We start from the raw sequence: 18686 nt of genomic DNA, 5'->3' as shown, positions 1-18686 counted from the left end.
TATTGCTTTTTCATCTTTCTGTTATCATTGTCTGTGTCAGCTCCTCAATGTAGGGGGACCATTTAGTCTTTGCATCTACAAAAAACAAGCCATTTTTTTCTTTTTACTAACCTAATTTTTAAAAATCATTTAATTGGGCCCAGAGGCTGCGCAATGGAAGGATATGGAGTTTGGGAAAAATAAAACCAATGAGTGAACCAGGACATTTTGTGTTCTTTAAGCTTTTAGGAGGACAAGTGCTGAGGACACTGTAACATTATTATTATGACTGATTAACCGCCAACAGCATGATTTCAGAAAGAAAAGGAAGGAAAAAAGCCAGTTATCATTACACACAAGCAGCCTACTGTCAGTCCTTGAAAATAAAAATTTGAGACAGAAGACAATGAATGCTATATTCAGGCGTCAGTCTATTCTCTTTATGTAGATTTCATATTAATCTGTTTATTATAAATATGTTTCACATGTCACTTTTCTTCTATTTCCACTTTATTTTTTCTCTACTCCCAGATTTCTCGGCACCAAACTCTTAGCTACTATCTTTTCTGGCAAATTCAAGTCCCAGAAGGTATCTCCTGCCACAGTATCATAACTAATTTTCTCCTTTCAATTAAAGGTCATAGTTTGTTTGAAAGAGCAAAAAGAACTGCAAGAAGCATATTGACATTGTGTAAATGAGAGCTGAACATCAAGGAGTATACAGTTAATGAACAAAAGATCATTGCTTAGTGTCTAACTGCAGCATTAAGGCTTGGTATTGAATTCACTGAAAAGGTGATGTGACAGAGGACAAACAGGGGACAAACAGGTGAGGGGCTTCATGTTGTTCAGTGGGGGCTCCAACCTCCTCTCTCTAATACTTCCTATGTATTGTTTTGTTCTCAGAACTTAAATGTCTATTTGAGGGGGAAAATGCATTCTTCTGTCTTGTGCAGAGACATATAATATGGTGCTTATAACATGTGTACTGGTTTATATTATTCAATACAATAACTTGCATTTTTATCCAGTGGGCTAAGAAAAACATATTTAAGGAGAAAAGGCCATTCTGAAGCACATTTTAAGTGTTAGGGCTATTGATTCAAAGACTACATGTTGTAAGTGTGCAAATATTAAATGTGAATATAACTATATTTTATGATTTAATTGCTAATAAGAAAGCAGAATGATAAACATCTAAGAGGAAATGTGTAAAAACTGAATTGCTGGAATATATTTTTATCTTAAAGAAAAATTACTGAAGATACTTGTTAAAGATGATAAGGAAGACTTAATTCAAAATGGGCTACTACAATGGAGGATTGTAGCAGGTGAGAGACACTGGGCTTAATTCCAGATACAATAAGAAAAAAGGATTTATAGCAAAGGAGCAGAGTCAGGGGCTGCTGGATGGACAATTCCTAGGAGGTATGGTAATTATTTGTTCAGCTGACCTAAGGAGTTTTGCTGAAGGCAGGCCAGGTGATAAAATTCAGAGAGTAGTCAGACCAAGAACTGGGGATGGAGGGGTGCTTTTATAAATTGGCTCAGCACGATTCTTGCTAAAGCTGGACAATGCAGAGATAAACACAGAAGCCCAAAAGTCAGGGCCTAATTGAGAAGAGTTCAGAGGAGCCTGAAAAGAGCTTGGTCAAGGAGAGAATCATTGTCCCATAACGATGTTTTTAGTTAGATACATACTTTGCAGTTAGTTATGCTATGTTGATAGAGTTCCATGTGAGTGTGAGTGTGTGTATGTGTGCATGTGTAGGTATGTGTTTGTGTTTTCCATAAAGAGGACATAAAATGTATTTTACACTGTAAATTTCAGTGTGTATCTTTTCAATGGAATGTCAATTCAGTGTTTGCTAATAGCTCACAGATTTATGTTTGTGAAAAAAGAAATACTGGTTGTTAGAAAAGGAAGTTGTTATATTGTTTTCTGAGATGAAACAGTTATAAGATACATAGAAATCTTACCTTTAATGCAAACTTTATGTTTTAATCCTTCATAAGATTTGACGGTCAGCTGCCAGGTATACATCATTACCAGCACTGTAGTAATCAATTTTAAAATATTTTAGTGTTAGGAGAGATTAATCATTTGTTTAGGTTTTTTTTTTTTTTTTTTTTTTGAGACGGAGTCTCGCTCTGTCGCCCAGGCCGGACTGCGGACTGCAGTGGCGCAATCTCGGCTCACTGCAAGCTCCGCTTCCCGGGTTCACGCCATTCTCCTGCCTCAGCCTCCCGAGTAGCTGGGACTACAGGCGCCCGCCACCGCGCCCGGCTAATTTTTTGTATTTTTAGTAGAGACGGGGTTTCACCTTGTTAGCCAGGATGGTCTCGATCTCCTGACCTCATGATCCACCCGCCTCGGCCTCCCAAAGTGCTGGGATTACAGGCGTGAGCCACCGCGCCCGGCCTTGTTTAGGTTTTATAATTTAAAGACCCCTAGTGTATGCTTTAATAGCCACTCATGTAAAATTTAAAAAATACTATTTCTACTGATCCAGTACTAAAGATGCTAAAGATGAATAATGTGTACAAAAGTGCACATTTTAGAAAAAGTGAACATTTCAAAAAGGTTAAAAGAACAATTTTGTCATATCATCTTTCAATGTTCATTTAATTTCTATGGATCATTTTCCTTACCCATAAAAATTAAGGTTTAAATTAATATGCCTTTATCTTTATGGTGCTATTGCTAAAAGTCAATTGCTCACATAAATATTCTTTGTCTAACAATTAGAGACAATCTGTTTAGTAACTAACAAGTTCAATCTTTTGATTAACAAATTAACTTTTTTGAAAATATAGAAATAGAGGTAATATACAAATATGTGACATAAGCTTTATCGTAAAAAACTTTAGCATTTACCTCAAGAGGCAAATCTAACACACATGAAAGGATTCCAGACAACATAAAATTAGAACAAATGTGGATTATATGAGATACAAAAGCTGAGAAAGCTCACAGGCAAAAGAGATCAAGGAGTTTTTGTGGATAAAGCTCTCCCATCTGACAATTCAGGATATTTAATGCTTTCTGTTAATCATCTCATTGTAAATGTATACCTAAACTCTTACTGTAAATATGTAACTACATTTAGAAATGAAAGTAAGGGAAGTTCATCTTTTTTTCATTTTAAGAAGTGTTCATTGATAAAAATTAAACAATTTCCTTTGAAAAATGTGATTTCACCTTTTTTAATGTGCAATTTGCAAATATAGAGAATTAGTAATAAATGAAACATTCACAAGTTTTGGTGGCACAAAGATCAAAGAGAATAAGGCAAATCTTATTCGTTAGATTTTCACACTCAAATTTAGAAAGTAAATAATTCTAGAGGTAGGGGTTATCCCTGAAAGGACAAAAAAGATTTCCAAGTCTGAGTAATGCACACTGGTTGAAGAGTGATAAAAGGTTCTTGTTTGTTTGTTTGTTTTGAGACAGAGTCTCGCTCTGTCACTCAGGCTGGAGAGCAGTGGCATAATTATTGTAGCCTCCACCATCTGGGTTCAAGTGATTCTCCCACCTCAGCCTCCCAAGTAGTAGAGACGGGGTTTCACCATGTTAGCCAGCCTGGTCTCAAACTCCTGGCCTTAAGTGATCCTCCTGCTTTGGCCTCCCAAAGTGCTGGGATTACAGGTGTGAGCCACCACGCCTGGCCAGTAAAAGGTTCTTTAGACAGAGTTCACATTTTTAATATGGGCCAGCAGTTCCATAATGTGGCCCTTAAAATTTTAAGGCAAGAAAATTTAGATAATAATTCATTATGTGATCACTGAGAGCAATAACTCAAAATAGTGTTTAACTTACACAATAATAATAATGGAACTGTAAGCATCTGAGAGCCTAGCAGGATGAGAGTAGATGGAAAACGTATCAGAAAGGACTTTCTACCAATCTTCAAAATTAATCCAGATGAGATCTTACAATGGAGAAGATAACTTGGGGCAAACAAGGAAAATTATATGGAAAAGATATAATGGATCTGTATTAGTGGGGACTAGATAGATAAAATGTGTAATAGCTGGAAAGAAAACAAGAGGACTTTTCATGGATGATCACCAAGTGACTTTCCAATGTTGAACATATAGGACACAATTAATAAATAAATATTCCCTAGCAAATTCCTACATTCTAACATGAAGATACCTAATACCCTAGAGGAACAGAGTGCATGGATATGAAACAGGTTCTGAAAACAAAGTGGAAAAATGCTAGTTATATACCAAATGGGAAGAAAGTTCAATTTTAAAATAGCCAGTTAATAAAATATGAATACTACTTAACATTTACAGATATATCTTAAAGAAAAAAAATGTTAAGAGTAAGATACATTCATAAAATCAACAGGATACTATCAAATGTTCACATTTTTTCAATGCCTTTTAAAAAGGAACATAAGAGGCCACATGCAGTGGCTCACGCCTGTAATCCCAGCACTTTGGGAGGTCAAGGCAGGCAGATCACTTGAGGTCAGGAGTTCAAGACCAGCCTAGCCAACATGGTGAAACCCCATCTGTACTGCAAATACAAAAATTAGCCAGGGGTGGTGGCACATGTCTGTAATCCCAGCTACTCGGGAGGCTGAGGCAGTAGGATCACCTGAACGTGGGAGGCGGAGGTTTCAGTGAGTCAAGATCACACCACTGCACTCCAGCCTGGGTGACAGAGTGAGACTCTGTCTCGAAAAATGCCAAACAAAACAACAAAAACAGAAGGAGCATAAGAAAATACAGATTGTACAAAATTGTACATCAAATTATACTTTCTTTGTCATTTCCCAACATCATCTCAGTAACAATAGTTGGATAACTTCAGCAGTCATGGGTAAATAAGAATTAGATTAAAATTGGAAAAGATAAATCCAGTAAACTATTTATGACCCTTCATAAACCGTGAGGCGCTAACAAATTTAGATAAATGAGGGAGGAAAATGATCACACAAATTCAATAAGTTATTTAACTGATAGCATAATTGAAATGAATATGTTGCTGTGAGAATAAATGTTTATTACACAAGAAAAGCATGCTAAAGAAAAAGATGAAACTGAGTAAGCCTCCAAAACAAATAAAAAATACTTCTGTATTAATAAAATGGGGTTTTTGTTTTGCTTTTGCAGACTTAATAAACGTGACAGAGGAAATGACTAGATTTTAGGAATTAATTATGTTTGGCCACTTAATGCAATGGAACCAACACTGCAAGTGAATAGTTAATATCACTGTTCTTACTAATTCATTCACAAGAAAGGACAGAAAAGCAAAATATCAAAGGAGCACTGGGAATGACTCTACTAATAGTGCAGACCCTTTGGGCAAAAAGAGACTCAGAAGTGTACTTTACTCAAAAAGACCATTAGACTGTAACTTTATTAACTTACAATATAGGACATGGCAATGGGTACCAGGAGGGATTCTCTCTGAACCCAGAGCAACAAGAGTACATTCTCCGAGCAGAAGACAGGTGGCTTGCTATCCATTACCCAACTGCTTTATCTCCAAAGGGAAAAAATAATCACCTCTACGGTTTTCTGTGTTCACATTAAAATAAAGCATACATAGACCTCAAATTTACTACACTTTCCAAAGAACCATGGATACGTATTTCTTTCATATTTTAATTTCACCAGATGTAAATAATGCAAAACACATTTTTAAAAATAATAATTTTTTAATATAAAACAAGTCATATTGTGGAATTCATATTCTATTTTGTATGAATACACCCTTTAGTGAAAATTTTTTAAAAGATATCAATTTGAGTACATTTTCTATAAATTTAATGTATCAGGATATACTATAAATGATATAGAACTGTAGTAAAAGTCATTTGTAATGGCTCTAGAGAAAAGAACTAGAAATCAGATTGCAAAGTTAATTTAACTTGCTTTATTTTAATAGATATTATTTAAGCCAGAAGAAAATTCACTAGAAACATTAGAAAAATCATAGGTTACATTCTTCATAAAATAGTAATACATTTTCTTTTGTAAAGAAAATGTTTGAACCTATTAAATTTAGACAATGGAACAAAGCTTGATCTCAAGGTAAATCAAAGTATAGTAGTAAATATGCCTAATATACAGGTCTGCTAACAAGAAAATGTATGGTCATTAAAATGTGTACTTGGCTAAAAGAAGTCATTTGTTCCAATTATTCAAAAAAGTTAAAATTTTTACCGTCTGAAAAGGATAACATTACTGTTAGTGATTACTACATCTTGAAATTTTCTGGAATAGACATATAAAGTGGATCTGAGTACATGAATTGGTAAGGATGAGGGGGTAATGTTGCCAGAATAGGTTTATTATGCTGTTACTTATACCCTAAGATATTGTGAATAATTATAGTTTTTTAAAGAATGATATAGAAAATTACTCTTTAATATTTTTTCAAACAATTCACTTCACTTTGTAAGGCAAGGAATATCTTCGGGGAAATTTTCAAGTAAGAATTAAGCATGGAGACAGATCGCCTCAGAACATTTGCCTGTACTTGCAAATGAGGCATCAATGCAGAGCCTTTGTTAACATTTTCATTTTAATTACTAGCTAAATTGCACTTATTTGTAATTATGAAAATCAGCACTCCGAAAGTTATTTTTAAAGATTGTACTGTTCAGAGAAATCATTATTGTTGTTGCATAACTAAAACCTGCATCTCATATGCAATACCTAGGATTTGGGAATTGGGTTTTGTGACTTTTCTCCTCATTTGGTACACACAGACATTTACACAATTCAAAAATTAAATAATCTACTTTATCTGTATTTCAATTTTAACAGTTACATACCAGACACAAGGAACTGAGTCAATTACCTGGATGTAACTAAATATTTTCTCATTTAATATCGCACAGAGTAAGTTATAAAAATTTAGTACTCAATTTTAATTGTTTATTTGGATATTTACTGTCACATGGATAAGATGATATGTGAATTTGTTGGGATTTTACTGGGCTTAATACCTGGGTGATGTAATGTACAACAAAGCCCCAAGACACGTGTTTACCTGTGCAACAAACCTTCACATGTACCCCCAAACCTAAAATTTAAACAAATTAAAAACTACCTGAATATCTTACATTATGAGTGAAACATCCAAAAAGATTATCTTATTGATATTTGAGTTTTCTTGGAATTAAAATGTAAGTGGCATTCCAGGCAATTTTTGAGAGGCAGAATTTTATTTTTCATCCACATCTTAATTTTTTGAACCTCACCAATTGGTATCTTACTGTAACATTTGTTAAGAGGCTGGGATTATGTAAAAATGTTATGTATATTTGTGTTTTATGCAGCAGTTAAAAATATGCACATATTTTACACACATACGCCTGATTTGTTTTGAGATTTTGGCTCTAAAATGCAGAGATGACTGCTACTCTAAGACATTGAATATATTTTATTTAAAATACAGCACTAAACTTTCAAGTAAACAATAAGGTATAACTTACAATTTGAGAGACAACTACATTTTATTTTCCTTACGCAGAATGCTATAAGCAATGATTTTTGCCAAATGCTATTTGAACATAGCAACATTTACAAAAAAATAAAACTACTTAGTATTAAGAAATTTGTTTCACTCTTTTTAAATTATATCAATGAAATTCAAGCATCTATACTTGAAGGGAAAAAAATCTGCAAATTCAAATGTATACACATTCAGAACATGCATTTTGTTATAGTAAATGGACTTTTTAATGATCCATTCAGTGAGGAAAATTTGTTTCCCAGCAGGAATTCCATAGATTTCAAAACTCTCTGAATGCACAATAATAAAATTACTCAAGCTCAGGTATTGCCTTTTTTATTATTTTTTGCATCTGCCATTCTTCCATGAAAGCACATTCATTTATTCTGTCACCTAATTATCATCATGGCAAGTTATGATAAACCAAATAGCTTGGGTAGGGAATCAAAGATAACATGTTTGTACACAGAAATAATCTTATCTGTTTGCCTTCTTCTCCAGACACATCTCAGCCATTTTATTAACTCATTCTCTGAAAATCAGACGAAAGTCCAGTTGCATTGATCTGAATCATTCTGAATAAAATCTGCATTTTATGGAAAACTCAGGAATGCGAATATCGAGTATGCCAATAGAACAGACTCTCCAAATTCGGGGATTTTTGAAACTTTATTTTATATATATATATAGCAAAAACACCCCTAAATGTTCATTTTAAATTCCCTTTGTATTTTGCTTCAGTTATGTTTAAATTAGAAAAATGCAACACAATAGAGCAGATTCACCTGCTTTAGCAAACATGACCAGGATTGTGTTTCGGTTCATTTTAAGCTATTACCATGACAACTGTCTTTCTCACACAAATTAATGAATAACCTTATCAAATAAATTTATGAAACATCACTGTGATTTGAGTTGGGAAGTTTAGTACCAGTGCACTTTATAATTTATAACAGAGTCTAAAAAGGGGGTACAATTTGTTAAAGACTACCATTAACATCCTGGCTTTGAAAGCTTAAATTTAGTTATTCAGATTAATCAGAAACTCTCATATATCAATGAAAAATATTCCTGAAATATAAAACAACATTACTTTAATGTATTGTTTTTATAATTATCTAAATCATCTTTGAATAGCAAAAGTTGATGTGTATATTTTTTTATATATAGGACTCTCAGACTACTTAGATTCCGGAAATTTCCAGAGCAAAATCAAATCAGGAGTTTAATGGAACCTGCCTCAAGACAGCACTTCACTCTGCATTACACACTGCCGTAAGTCATTTAAACATGGTTCAGTCTACAAACATTTATTGACTGCCATTTGTGTGCCTGTCATTGTGCTATAATGCTAAGAACGTGGAAAAGATATTCCAGACCTCAAAGATCTGCAGAGCTACAATCCAGTGGCGAACCCAGCCAAGCAATCAATCCCATTTTATTACCGTTGTAAGGGAATATGCTGGACACAGTGGGAGTAACGAGGAAGAATACACAACCCAATCTGAAGTGGGGCAGGGAGGGCTTGTCACAGAGGCTGGCACCTCCACTGTCCTTGGTGGCTAAGATGAAGTAAGGTAGTCTGAGAAGATGAAAAGTTTTGTTGTTGTTGTTCATTTGTTCTGAGGTAATAGCAACCGCATGAACAGAAAGATGACAGGCCTACAACACACTCCATACAGCTGGCGCAGAATTTGGTGATTTCCATTAATCAAGGCAACAGATGCTTATCTTAATAATTTAGTAGTTTCTATAAGTCTGTCTATATTCTTCATTTCTATATGTATAAATTTATAAAGCAAAAAACACTACCAACATCAATTGATGTTAATATTTCTGTGTATTTCTGTTCATTGTTTTTTCAAAGTAGCTACATAAATTTTATTAAATTGGAGTCATCGAATATGTAGTTTGATACCCGGTTTTCAACTTAATATTGCAAACATTTTCACATACCATTAAATATTTTAAGTTATCTTTAAAAATTGTTTATTAGCAACTGCAAAATATGCCATCATCAAAATGTACCAAAGTATATTTAATCGTGACCTTTGTTTTGGCGTTTAGTGATTTATAGTTTTTTAAGAACTATGAAAAATTAATATACACACATTTATAATATCTGTGATTATCTTTTAGCATAGATTTTGAGAACTAGGATTATGGGGGAAAGAATACATTTTTAGAGATTTTCGTATGCATTTTCAAACTGCTTTCCAGGAAGAATACATTCTTACCAATAGTATATGAGAGGTTTCATTGTCTAAGTATCTCTTATCATACCTATATCTTTATTAGCTGGATAACTAACTGTTTTATCTTGGTCCAACTTTGCATTTTGAATATCAAAATAAACATGAAGGTTTTTGTTCACATTATATGTAGTAGTAATTCTTATTAAGCCACTATGACAGCATGAGCTCATGGTTAACATTAAAACTTAGAAAGAAAAAATCTGATACTTAAAACTGTGTTTTTTAAAATGAGAGAACTTCAAAAGGATAGCTTTTCTCGGTAACGGATTTTTTTAATCACTCCTTATCAAATGACTGGCGATGTGCTCTATTACTATTAATAAAGAAATATATAGCAGAAGTAAAACTGAAGTTATGGAATATCAAATTCACCTTTACTCCTTGACTTTCTCATTCACACTTTTTTCATTATACTACAAATTGAGATTACATAATATTGAGCTTCCTTTAGAATTCAGAATATTTCTGTACATCTTGTCATGCTTCAGCATAACCTAAAATGGGACAAGTTCTCTTAGCAGATTTTTTTTCAAGTCCAAAAGAAGAACTCTGAATAAAGTCTCAAACTCCGGGGTTAATCTCCTTGACCAACCAGTAACCAACAGTATTTCCAACTAAGATTACAACTATGCAGTAGATTCAGAAATGGCATCAACAATGTTTAATGTCAAAATGCAGTCAAAGCCAACATTTGCTATAACTGAGAAAACCATTATATAGGTGCCTTTGTTTGCTGTAGATATGAATGACGTTAATTTACTTTGAAGAGATTCTTAGGGAGGTTGCAGAACTCTGGAGTTCTAGAGAATACAAATATCTGAATTAATGTTTGAAGATTCTATAAAACATACATGTATATAAAATTGAATATGCATATATGTGAAGATTCTATAAAACAAATATACATATACGTGAAGATTCCACAAAACATGTATACCACCATTTGAATCTTATACTCCTGAGGATAATTAAATTTAGCTTCTGCAAGAGACAGACTTCAAAGTTTCCATGGCTTAAAACAACATAGATGTATTTCTGGTCCACCTGAAATCTGATACAAATCCTGTTTCATGTTGCTACTCTGCCATCAGGAACATAGGCCTCCCAAGTCACAGGAGAAGACAGTGATGGTGGAGACACACCTGCTGGCTTCTACTTCTTCTGGAATTGATGTCATTTCTGCTCATAGTTCATTAATCAGAACAAGATGGAAGGCTAGAGAATGCAGAGAAATAGAAGGAAACATTGGTTTCTGCCACGTATCTCAACTAAAGCCTATGCAATTTAAAAATCTGTAATATGTAGAAGAATTAAAAGAGGTTAGATCTCTGCCACAAAATGCTTACTAGATGAGTCCTCAATCTTATATTCGAGATTTTGTGAAACATAAAAAGTTTAAGACATAATTCCTACCCACGAAAATCCTAAAATGTATAATATAGTTAAGGAGTCAATGCAAAATGTATCAAGATTTAAGAATGATTTTTTTTGCAGCACAGAAACAGAAACATTTACTATTAAAGAAGGAGATCCATGAATAATTACAGTGGGCTTCATAAAAAAGTTGTGTGAGTTAGTCTCTCAAGGACAGAATGGTGAGATTGACATAGGAGTGGGGAAAAGAGAGTACATTAGAGGCAAGATGATGGGCTCCAGGGAAAGCAAAGGCGAGAAGGGCTATGACAGCTTCAGAGAAACTTAATAGGCCTAATTAGACAGAGAGTACATTTTGAGAATTCGTGGTAAATAAATACATGGAGCAGAGAATCTTGTAAACCACATAGCAGAACTTAGAACTGACACAGTAGAAAACTGGGAAACATTTGAAGTTCTTGAGCAAAAGCCTGAGATTTCTTGTTTAAGAATTATACTGCACTTATCTCCACGAGGACATGAAGTGGTATACACAGTACAATATGATGCAAAATTAGGCATCAGGGAATAAAACCAAGCATTGTCTGCTTGACGAATTTAATGGACTTAATGAATTTAATTAAACAGGAGGAAGAGATGGTGGGCTACACACTACTTGAAACAGCTGGATGCTGATTACTTGGCTATGCCGAATTTCACTCTTCATTTTCTTACTTAAAACAAAAAGGAAAATAGATTAGGTTAAATTATTTTCACGGTTGGGCCAAAGAAAAAATAATCCACAAAACCCTCACTCACATAGGTCACGATAGGAGCAGTGTTTGAGGAAGATTTGTCTGGCATCAGTCTGAAAGGTGAGTTGGAGCAACGGGCAGGAGAGGTGGAGGGAGCAAAGACATAGTGAGGGCCCCAGCACCACAGTGGCCAACAAACACCCAAAACACTACAGTAGTAGGGTGGTGGTGGTGATGAACCCACTGTGGTAGGAACTGTCTTTTGTGAGTGTCTCATTGAAGTCCCTAAATATTCTCTGACAAATAAGTGTTACTAAAGGAAGTCAAAGGTGTTCTAGAGTCTTCACAAAGAAAGACATCAGTGCAACCAAAACCTGAAGCCATTTACTAAGCATGCCAAATGTAGAGTCCCTTTACATTCTGTCAGTGAGCATAACATGAATGTTGCTAAAGGTCATGTGCTAACAATGATTATTTAGACAAGATAAGGAGATCATGTACATGAATAACTTACCATGACTAATGGTTGCTTGGGGAACACCCAAACTTCATTCAGAAAGTCTCACAATCTTAATGCCCTAAGAAGTATTTAGAGATCATTCACAGAGCCTTCTACTCACACAATGTCACATCTAAATCATTATAATGACTTCTATTTTAGAGTCTTTTGGAACAGAAGATGACATACTCTTTAATTGATAGGTGGCTATAGACATTTTAAAACATATCTATTTGCAGATTGCTATTTTTATAGAGAAAGATAAGTAAAACTATACTCCCAATAAGACAGAACAAAGAAACCAATACAAAAAGTTTAAAAATATAATAACAACTTTCTTTATTAACATTTTAGAACAATTAAGTGAAGCAAATGAAGGTAAAATAGTCCATTTTTTAACACTCCCTTCAAGCTTACTATGCTCCTTTTTCAAATGCCTACAACATTGTTATGTGTGTTCTTGTGTGGCCACCAAAAAAGTTGTTTTACAAAAGCATGCTATCAACAAATACACAAGATTTTATTAATTGGGAATAATAACAATAGGCTTTATTTCATTTAATGCCATCTCCCAGGTAATATATGGAAAGTCAAATTTCAAAATCTCTTCAACTAAGAAAATATGAACAACTAATTAATTACAATGAAATATCATAGCAGCAAATTATCACTCTCTCAGCTATTTTCACTACTTTTCATTATGTCTATAAATCAATCAATGTTGTTCATTCACATTTATTGATTTTTTCATCATAATATAGATTATACCGTTTTCTTCCTTGGATTAACATGTAACAGTCCTTAGAGACACTGGATGCTAAACTATGGATCTCAGAAAGTATTCAATATATTATTATGTATTTAATAATCATTTGGGACTACTTTGAAAGAGATGGTATACTAACCAGGTCATTCTAACATCTATAGGATATGCTACATCAATGCAGAATGGTTTTATAACCTTGCCAAGGTCATGAAATACCACTCTACAATGAAAATAAAGTAAGTCCAGTGAAATGTGAAAATTATGACTGAAAGCCATGTTTTCTTTCAATCAAATAAGATCTCACATTCTTTTGAGAACCTTCAAACAATGGACTGACTGCGATTCTGTCAGATTAAGTTCAAAATAGCATGTTGCAAGGTAAGAGCTTTTTTTTTCCTCTCTCTCTGCTTTTTCGTTGTTTGCTTGTTTAGTGTGTTCATCCATTTTGTTCATTTCTTTAAGATTTTTTAAATTGTTTTTAAAAATATTTTTAAAACAGTGAAAAATATACTAACAAAGACCACATAGATAAATGTATATACGGCCAGTTTTTAAAACATTTTTAAAAGAGGCAGTGCAGTCAGTTCAGCAACATGTCGCCTGACATCCTTAAGTACACATTGTCAAATTGACCCATACGGTTCCAAATAACACATCATTGACAATCAGCTTCATAAGCATTTAGACATTTTTGAACCATCCATTATTCTTTTGATAACTTATGATGACTTTTTTGTAAGCATCACAATCTATAATTTTCTAAATATATACTCCCATTTTCCCTACCTAAAGATTTTGAACATAAAAGGTCTACTAAAATATTTTAAATAAGCAGATATTTCATTCAAAAAGAAACACAAGAAGAAAAGCTCAAAACAAATGATAAGACTTTCAGTTCTTTATTTATTTTATTTTATTTTTGAGACGGAGTCTCGCTGTTGTTGGTCTGAGCTATAGGGCAATGGCGCGATCTTGGCTCACTGCAACCTCCGCCTCCCAGGTTCCAGCAATTCTCCCGCCTCAGCCTCCCGAGTAGCTGGGATTACAGGCACCTGCCACCACGCCCGGCTAATTTTTGTATTTTTAGTAGCGATGGAGTTTCACCATGTTGGCCAGGCTGGTCTCGAACTCCTGACCTCAGGTGATCCACCAGCCTCGGCCTCCCAAAGTGCTGGGATTACAGCCATGAGCCACTGCACCCAGCCTCAGTTCCTAATTATAAACTGATGAAGTCCCAAATGCTATAACTTCATATCATTTTAATTTTTAGCAATCCATCTAAATTGAAAAGACTATATTGACATTTCCGTGATTTACTAATCGCCAAAAATCATATTGCTTTTGATCCTGAAAAAAAATCAACAGGCCTTGGGATATTGACACAGAAAAAAAATTGTAATTAACGTCCAAATTGTCAAAATTTCTTATGCTCCTCTAGTATCTCAGTGCTCTAAGAATGCCATAATAAATCATTTTGTTTAATGTATCCTTATGAGTTTTTCTAGTGAAGACCGGAAAACCTGCTACACAAATTATAGAAGAGTTATAACACTAATAAATCAGTTTTGTTGGGACTAAAGTTCAGTTCTCAAAAGGTAAGTTAAAGAAGTCCCTTCCAGTGAGACACAATTTGCCAACACCCATAAAAACACAAACTTTCCTTCGAGGATTTAGATATGAATTTAATTACAAAACCTATTTTTCACCTAGGTATTTATTTAACGTGAGTAAGTGAATGTGTATGGACATGTATTTACAACCAATATATAACATTAATTTATGTGTAACATTTATATGTGTATGCATATGAATATATAATTGGTCATATTTAGATTTTAAATCCTTAATAGGTAGAGACTACATTATACATATTATAAGTATTTAATATGTGTGTGATAGAGAAACAAGTAAGTCACAGAGATGGCTGAGAACAGTAACCTCTGATACTCAAATAGATAGAGCATAAATATTTTCACACCTGTGTATTTCCAAAGGCACCTTTATTTCTACTAACTGTCATTTCGTGAGTTCTACTTCATCTTCGTAAAATATATAGTTGGCCTATAATATAGATGTATATTTTTAAAACTTGTAAGTATTACAACCCCACAGAAATCATTATAACTGTCTAATATTTTTTCTAAAAATAGGGCCTACTGTATTTTATATTTTAATAAAACAGATATTTTTCAACTTTTCTCTCTGCTAGTCCTTATCCCCATAATGCCTAATAAAAACTGGCATTTAGATACAGATTGTACATTATGCAGAAGATAACAGATGAGCTTATCAGCTGTTTTACAATTACAAGGGTAAATTTATTGATAAAACTGTGCAACATGAACTAACCTGACTCTTGTCAGTAACATGTGACAATATCAGTTTTCTGACTAGCTACCTGTTTGTAGTGCTCCTTAAACTGCAATGAAACAAATGACTTCTGTAACATTAAAACAATGGGCATTGGTTAAAAGGCTCAGAAACTATTTCTTTTCCACAAACTTACAAAAGGCTTGTTTTAAATTTAGTGTTTTAACCTCAAATATATTTTTCTTACAACTTCTTTAGTAATATTTGCACCAAAATGTACTTATTGTGCCATCTTCAGGGCGTTTTTAGGAAACAGCTCCATGAAGTAAATTAGAAATTACTTTCCTTGGTGGGGTTTTAAATTATTACTTTAAAGCTATAGAAGGTTTTGTTTATGTATAGTTATTTAAAGTTTTAAAATATTAGCTAAAATCTATAAAGCAAAATAATTTAAGCTTTAATGTAGATGAGAATGTAGACATCAAAATGTATATATGTAAATATATACACCTACAGACATACATTTTTTAAAGTTCTTTACAATTTCCAAAGCACTCACATATTATCTTATTTAGTATTTACAGTGTTCCTCTGAGGTGTTACAGCAGAAACTTGTATATCCTTTTAAAAATGAGAAAGCTCTTATTTAAAGACATGAATTACTGTTCAAAGTTTCAAAGACTGAATTATATAGCCAAGATTCAAGACTACATCTTTTTACTACAAGTAAAAAATTATTTCTACTATTATAGTGATATATAATATCCTTAAAATCAATGATGAAAATTATACATAATTTTTAATTACTTTTGTTCAATAATTGTTAAAACATCTATACTGAAAGTTGGAATAATTCCTGGATATGGTGACTATATATCAGAAAATCAGACATTTAAATATGTAGCTCAATTCTTTTATCATTTCTGAACTTTATTTAACTAAGAAATCTATAGTGAAACAAGGACACATTTGACCAATGGAAAATTATGGTAGAATTACACAAATCAATCCACAGATGAATACGATACAAATGAATTGCTCATGTGATAAAACCAGACTATACAGCAAATACAAATCTGCTGTTCTTAGACCACTAAGAAGCCCTAAAGAAAACCAACACGATTCTTTAGCGTCATTTGGGGTAACCATCTATTCTGATTTGCCTGAGACTATAGTAATTACCAGTAGAGCACCTTTTCGCATTCTAATGTGTACCAATTTGAACAACAAATTAACAGATCACTTTCAGTGACATATTTGATCCAATGGTACTAATAATGACCTAAACACAGAATGTAAAATAAGTATGAAAGACATAATGAAAGGATTCACCTTCTTAGAAATCCATTCATTTTACATGCATCTGGAAAACACATTAGAAGACACAGGTTCCAATTATAGCTTTGTGTCTTACCAAGCTGGTGAATTTATGTATCTATCTCTAACAGAAACTCTCCAAGCTTCTGTTTCCTTGTACGAGGATGATAATACCTTTTCCTCAAGGTTTTTGTTAAGTACTAAAATAACCTTGTGAAATCTACTAGAACTATGCCTAGCAGCCAGGACTTTATAAACAAATGTTCATTATTAATCTGTAAGTCTCTTAAGTTCAGAGATATGGCCTGGACATGAAAAATATCCAACCAGTACTTTTATTGAGTAAATTTTAAGTGACAAGGAAGGAATTACCTTAACATGAAGAGATTTTTATAACCTGGTCAAATTCATCTATTATTTAAGATTAACAATTCTCAAAAAATAAACCAACAGAATATGGCCCGCTCTGGTATGGAAGAATAGCCGAAAACTCCACTGGATGCTAATTGACTTTGGGAATTCCTGATTCATGAACTTCTCTAGTGAGAATATCTTTTCCTAGAACTGAAGTTCCTAAACTTAGAGGTTACAAGCCCAGTTTGAAAGCTTGATAGCAGCTACGATTCTGTCCCTAAAAACAATCTCCAGTCATATGTCATCTAGTGACAGGGATATGATCTGAGAAATGCCTCATTAGACACTTCATGGTTGTGCAGACATCATAGAGGGCACTTACATCAACCTAGGTGGTATAATAGCCTACTACACCCCAAGGCTATATGGTAGAGCCTATTGTTTCTAGGCTATATGCCCATACAGCACATTACTGAATACTGTAAGCAATTGAAACACAATGGCCATATGTGTACTTAAACATAACTAAACATAGAAAAGGTAGAGTGTAAATACAAGATTCTAATCTTTTGGGACTACCATCATATATGTGGTTCATTGGTGCTGGAAACACAGTTATGCAGCACGTGACTTGACTGTGTGTATAAAGAAATAAAATATATGTATATGCATACTATATATACATATATAGGTGCACACATATGTATATATACATATATAGTCTGTAAATCCATATATAAAACATACATAAGCACAAATATATGTACAATTTCAAGAGGTTTATGAAAACTCTAAAGCCCATATCATAGGTTTTTGGTTAAGAATCCCTAACCTAGAATAATGGCACTCTCTTTGTTGATTCTATAATACATGTATATTATAGATATTAAATGATAAGAAATTACTACTTAATGAAGTGATACTTAACCTTACTGAGTATTCTGATACATCTTACTCTGTTCCATACTAGTCTGTTCCATTTTATTATATTCTATACTATGCTGTTCTGGTTTTTAAAAAACAAACAAAGCTAGTTTAATCAACTACTGTATACTGTCAGATTTCATGCTCCAAGATTGGAAAACACTGCTGTAGAGTATGACAGCAGCTGCTTCAGGACTTGTACTACAGAAGGCAAGATAATGCTATAGCTGTTAGTAACCTAAGGGAGACAGCCCTTAGTGGGGAAAGTGTAGAGAACAATAGTGCTACAGAAACAGGAGAAATCAAAGCCCTCAGACCTCCCCCTGCTTGCCTAGAGACGTCTGGTGCACTTTCAAGGAGATATCATCCCCTACAAAGCTGTTCCTGGTGTTTATTTTAAGTAGACTAATTTGCATTTGCATAAAAATGAATGGTAGATGAGGAAAACATGAGATCTGCACAGTGCTACAGTTCTTTGAAATAAAAGAATCTTGATACTGCTTGTAAGGAAAAGTGGTTCCTTAGCAAAAAACGTAAATTAAGTAGAAAAAGAAAGTGTAATTCAACAGCAAATTTATGCATTTACTTATATTGACCCTGTTTCCAAAATGATTTGAGATGACTTCAAAAGGAATTAAGGATTTTTTTCAAGTTAATTTGGAATTAAGTGCATTAGTGATCAAACACT

General features: G+C 33.5%; 1 long non-coding RNA gene and 1 other non-coding gene across 22 annotated transcripts in view; both read right to left on the bottom strand.

Moving 5' to 3' along the window:
* The window catches only part of AGA-DT (AGA divergent transcript), a 255397-nt gene that overhangs the window by 102405 nt on the left and 134306 nt on the right, over positions 1–18686 (bottom strand). For 6 of the 21 annotated variants that reach the window (NR_183786.1, NR_183780.1, NR_183788.1 and 3 more), the window contains one exon: positions 1960–2034. The exons of 12 other annotated variants lie outside the window; for them this stretch is intronic. This is a non-coding gene — a long non-coding RNA (AGA divergent transcript). Of the gene's footprint in view, positions 1–1959; positions 2035–7785; positions 10936–18686 lie in introns of those variants that run through there. 3 more of the 21 variants (NR_183795.1, NR_183797.1, NR_183796.1) reach the window with 1 other exon arrangement.
* On the bottom strand, positions 14585–14647 carry LOC124900889 (U7 small nuclear RNA). Its single transcript, XR_007058521.1, has one exon. It is a non-coding gene; the product is annotated as a U7 small nuclear RNA (small nuclear RNA).

The sequence above is a fragment of the Homo sapiens genome, chromosome 4 (assembly GCF_000001405.40).
Source record: "Homo sapiens chromosome 4, GRCh38.p14 Primary Assembly".
Lineage (NCBI taxonomy): Eukaryota > Metazoa > Chordata > Mammalia > Primates > Hominidae > Homo > Homo sapiens.
This window is presented reverse-complemented; position numbering and strand designations above follow the sequence as displayed.